The sequence below is a fragment of the Homo sapiens genome, chromosome 4, assembly GCF_000001405.40.
Source record: "Homo sapiens chromosome 4, GRCh38.p14 Primary Assembly".
NCBI lineage: Eukaryota > Metazoa > Chordata > Mammalia > Primates > Hominidae > Homo > Homo sapiens.
In genome coordinates, this window is record NC_000004.12 from 18,068,963 (window position 1) to 18,074,746 (window position 5,784).

Sequence of the window (5,784 nt, forward strand, 5' to 3'; positions counted from 1 at the left end):
ACCAGAAGAATGGGATGTCCCAGAAGCCAAGAGAAACAAGTACTGGAAGGATGAGGGAATTGTCAGTTGTGTGAAATGGTGCAGAACTGGCATGTGTGAAAGAGAGAGGAGAGAAGTATTTGGGGGATTATATTCCTTTGTTTTAGCTAAGAAGGTTTTCTTTCCTCCCAAAGTCTCTGTAAGTTCAGCCATGTGGTGATGTAAGGTGATGGGCTGGGTTGTGTGCTATGGTTGACTTGTTTTTGGTATGTGTAATCTCCCTGTTCCTACTCTGCCATGATTATTGATGATCCTGGCGAGCAACATTTCCACGGGGATGTGTGCATTTGCTATGTCTGGCTTGTAAACAGTAAATACAAATGCTGCTTTATCAATTTACAGTACAATTGCCCTATGGCCAAAAGCAAAGTTGGAAGTCTGCCTCTCACTGCCTTCAGGATAAAGGCCAAACTTGGGAGCATGCCATATCGGCTTTCAGAAGATGGCTTTACATCTTACCACCCTCTCACATCTCCACCTCCCCTACCTCCCTCCACCTCTCTTCCCTGCCACACACTCCTATGCTCCTTTCACCCTGGACTCTAGGGACATTGTGCTTGTGCCTCTTCATATATGCTATTCCTTAGGCTTGCCATGCCCAACTCTGCTTTTGTTCTCAGGAAAGTACCACTGATGTTCTGAAGTCCAGCTCATGTGAGATTCCACTGTGAAACCTTCCTGATCCCCAGGCTAGAGTACTTATTCTTTTCTCTGCTTCACCTTCTTTTATTGTATTTCCACTATAGTCTCTAATTACTCAACCCAACACTCATCTAGATGTTGCTGTGAATGTATTTTATAGATGGGATTAACATCTACCATCAGTTGAATCTAAGGGGAAACTGTTCCAAATAATTGGGGTGAGCCTGATCCAATAAATTAAAAGGCCTTAAAAACAGAACCCAGGTTTCCCTGACAAAGAAGAAACTCCGCCCGTGGACTGCAGCATCAGCTTCCGCAGGAGAGTTTCCAGCCTGTGCTTCCTGACATCCTGCCCTACAGATTTCAGATTTGCCTAGCCAGGTCATTGTGTGAAATTGTGTTAGCCATTTCCTTGCAATAAATCTCTCTCTGTCTCTGACTTTCTTTCTCCATACAACACACACACACACATACACACACACACGTGTACATATACATAGACACACAAATCCTACTAGCTCTATTTCTCTGGTGGAACCCTGATTGATACAGAGAGCAAATAAAAAAAGTGACTATAAAAGGAGACAAAAAGAAAGAAAGTAGCTGAGTAAACGGAGGGAAGAATATAGTATCGTAATAGAAAATATGTAGAAAGGCGGAAGAGTGGAAACATCAAAGGAATTGAAGGGTTAATTGTCATCCTTTAAGACTCTGCTTAGATGCTTCCTCATCTACACAATCTTCCCTTCTCTAGGTATTCTTATTCTCTCTTGCATCTTGTCACCTATCACAGCACAAGTATTATAACTTCATGTTGATACCTTTGTGATTCCTGTTTTGTGAGTTTAAGACCTCAGAGGATAAATTCATCTTTCTATCCCTAGCACCTAGCTTAGTGCTTGGCTTATAACAGGGGCAGAATAAAACATTGGATAATAAGTGAATGAGAGTTTGCAGCCTTAGGTGCTCACAGATGCCCAGCTCAGGCCAGCCCATGGACCAGAGAAGGTTTTCTGAAGGAAGCAGCCTGAGTACCATCAGAGGGAAACTCCAGTCAGCTGTTCTAGCTCCTTCCCTCCATGCATTCATTGGCACCTTCAGGACCACATGATTTGCTGGGTCTCCTTCCCAGTATGTTGTGATGCTACCAACATACTTCCAGTGCCCTTAAGAAATGGCACTCAGTTCCTCCTACTTGAGGCTGCTTCATGGAAAGATCCACAGGCCACTTAACACACTGTGGCAACTCTCATAAGGGCATCTGAGTTGAAGGGCTTGTGGATATTTCTGTCTTCATTAAAGACTTTCCCTGGGCTCCTTTTATCCTTTTTGTTGACACCAGAGTTTGGACCATCTCTGGAGCACATAGATGTGCTGGATGCTTGTCGTCTCTTTGCAAGATGAGATGCAAGAACACTTTCCTGCAGGAAGGAGAAAGCAGAGGGTCTTTTGGAGGCAAAGGACTCTCTAGCGATGCTCTGAGGCATTCCATGTAGTGACTTCCTCTTGCAGATGGATTTCCCCTTTGACAGCCTGAGAGTGTGTCTTACTTGCGGGGAACAAGCATAGAAAAGGAGATGCAAGTCTGCTTCGTTCTCCCATAGGAATCTACAGCTTTTGAGCCTATTTCGTTGTGTCTGCCTCTCATATCTTCTTTGTTGGAAGTGAAAGGAAAGAGGAACCTCATGACTATTTATTGAACAGATAACTGTTGAAAGAACTAAAATTGATAGTAAAGATGAAAATACAGTACAATTGGAGAAATGGCTGATACTAGGATTAGGGCAAGGAATAATACATAATGAGCCTGTGACGTTTTACAGTGTCAGGAAGTAAGGAAATTCTGAAAAACAAAACAAAACAAAAAAACCCGCATTGATGTGCATGTCAAAGGGGCACAGGAGCCAATTGAGAGAGCTGCCAATGGCCAAAGTGGGAAAAATTTGAGCAACAAGATAAATAAAATAGTACTGGATTATAGCTCAATGTACAAAATAAATATCCACGAGTCCACACTGATATACATACATTGTTGAATAACTTAAAAAAAGGTAGAGAAGAGACAAATCTCCCATGCAGAAGAATTTCAAATAAATCATGTAGATTCTCCATCCTAAAGGGGAGGAGCATAATCCTTCATTCCTTAAGTGTGGGCCAGACATAATATGTCCCAAAATGTAGAGACATTATGGAAAGAGGAAGAAAAGCTTAACTTTACAGTGGATAAACCCGACAAGCACTGCTTCAGCTAGGTGATCAAGGTTGACATCAATAGTGATAAGTCATGTTGATAGTATGTGCCTTGGATATGATGTAGTAAGAAATGATCTTTTGCCTCTGTGGTCTTCCTCCAAAAATGCATAACTCCAGCCTAATAATATGAAAAACATCAGACAAATTCCAATACAGGATCATCCTACAATATGCCTGACCAGTACTCCTCAAAATTGTCAAAGTCATCAAAAATAAGGAAAGTCTGAGAAACTGTCACAACCAAGAAGAGCCTAAAGACACTTCATGACTAAATGTGATGTAATATCCTGGATGGAATCCTGGAACAAAAAAAGGACATTGGGTGAAAACTAAGGAAATCTAAATAATTTATGGACATTAGTTAATAATAATGTATCAGTATTGGTTCATTAATTGTGCCATACTAATGTAAGATGTTAATAATAGGAAAAATTGTGTGTCAGGGAGGCTATTTGGGAACACTGTACTATTTTCTCAATTTCTCTATAAATCTAAAACTGTTCTAAAAAACCTATTTTTAAAATTTTATTTTTAATTTTAATGGGTACATAGTAAGTGTAAATATTTATGGTTTACATAAGATATTTTGATACAGGGCATATAATGTGTAATAATCACATTAGGGTAAATGGGGTATTCATTACCTCAAACATTTATCCTTTGTGTTGCAAACAATCCAATTATATTCTTTTAGTATTTAAAAATACAATTAAATTATTATTGACTATAGTATTTGTGCTATAAATACTAGATCTTATTAATTCTTTTAAACTATTTTTTGTACCCATTAACCATCCCTACTTTCTCCCTATGTCCCTCACTACCATTCCCAGCCTCTGGCAACCATCCTTCTACTCCCTATCTCCATGAGTTCAATTGTTTTAATTTTTAGCACCCACGAATACATGAGAACATGTGAAGTTTGTTTTTTTCTGTGCCTAGCTTATTTCACTTAACATAATAACCTCCAGTTCCATCCAAGTTATTGCAAATGACAGGATCTCATTCTTTTTTTATGGCCAAATAGTACTCCATTATGTATATGTACCACATTTTAAAAAAATCCGTTTGTTGATGTTTCCAAATTTTGGCTATTGTGAATAGTGCTGCAATAAACATGGGAGTGCAGATATCTCTTTGATATCCTAATTTCCTAGCAGTGGGATTGCTAGATCATACGGTAGCTCTATTTTTAGTTTTTTGAGGAATCTCCAAACTGATCTCCATGGTGGTTGTACTAAATTACATTCCCACAAACAGTGTATTAGGGTTTCCTTTTCTCCACATTCTCACCAGCAGTTGTTATTGCCTGTCTTTTGGATAAAAGCCATTTTAACTGTGGTGAGATTTTTAAAAATCTATTTTAATTGACAAGCAAAACCTAATTAAACTAAAGAGCTTCTGCACAGCAAAAGAAATGATCAACAGAGTAAACAGACAATCTATAGAATGAGAGAAAACATTTGCAAACTATGCATCTGACAAAGGTCTAATATCTGGAATCTATAAGGAACTTAAACAATCTCACAAGCAAAACACAAATAACCCCATTATAAGATGGGCAAAAGACATGAACAGACACTTCTCAGAAGAAGACATACAAGCAGCCAACAAACATAGGAAAAAATGCTCAACATCACTAATCACCAGAGAAACGTAAACCAAAACCACAATGAGATACCATCTCACACCTATCAGCATGCCTATTATTAAAAAGTCAAAACACAACAGATGCTAGCAAGGCTGCAGAGAAAATGCAACACTTACACACTGTCGGTGGGAATGTAAATCAGTATGGCCACTGTGGAAAGCAGTTGGGAGATTTCTCAATGCAGAGAAAACAGAACTACCATTTGATGAAGCAATCCCATTGTTGGGTGTATATCCACAAGAAAACAAATTGTTCTACCAAAAATACATGTACTCGTGTGTTCATTGCAGCACTATTCAGAATAGCAAAGACATGGAATCAACTTGGATGCCTATTGATGGTGGATGATATAGACAAAATATGGTACATCTGCACCCCAGAATACTACACAGCCACAAAGAGAACGAAATCATGTCTTTTGCAGAAACATGGTTGCAGCTGGAGGCCATTATCCTAAGTGAATTAACACAGGAATAGAAACAAAATACCACATGTTCTCACTTATAAATGGGAGCTAAACAATGGACATAAAGATGGCAACAATAGACACTGGGATATTCTAGAAGGGAAAGGTAGGGAGCAGGGCAAAGCTTAAAAAACTATTGGGTACTATGCTTAGTAACTGGGTAATAGGACCCATATCTCAAACCTCATTATCACACAATGTATACAGGTAACAAGCCTGTATCTGTATCCTCTGAATTTAAAATAAAAATTGAAACTATATAAATATAAAAGAAAAGGTGAAACTCTATACCCAATAATAACTCCCCAAGCTTCCCTTCTTTCAGCTCCTAGTAACCATCATTCTTCTATATGTTTCTGTGAATTGGACTACTCCAGTTACCTTGTGTCAGTGGAGTCACACAGTATTTGTCTTTTTTGTGGTTGGCATATTTTACTTAGCATAATGTTTGCAAAGTTCTTCTATGTTGTAACATGTATCAGAATTTTCTCTCTTTTTAAGGCTGAATAAAATTATGTTGTATATTTATAAAATTAAAAAATCTTATTTTTAAAAACTGAGAAGAAAAGAAAAAAGCATAAGAGCTTGCTATGGTTGTATAAGTGTGTAGAATTAGGTGCACACACACACACAGACACAATCAACACCTTATGACAATCTGCTAAAATGAAAGGTAAGATATTGCATGGTAATTATGAGACATCACCTGCTTCTTACCTCAGATATCTTTCTG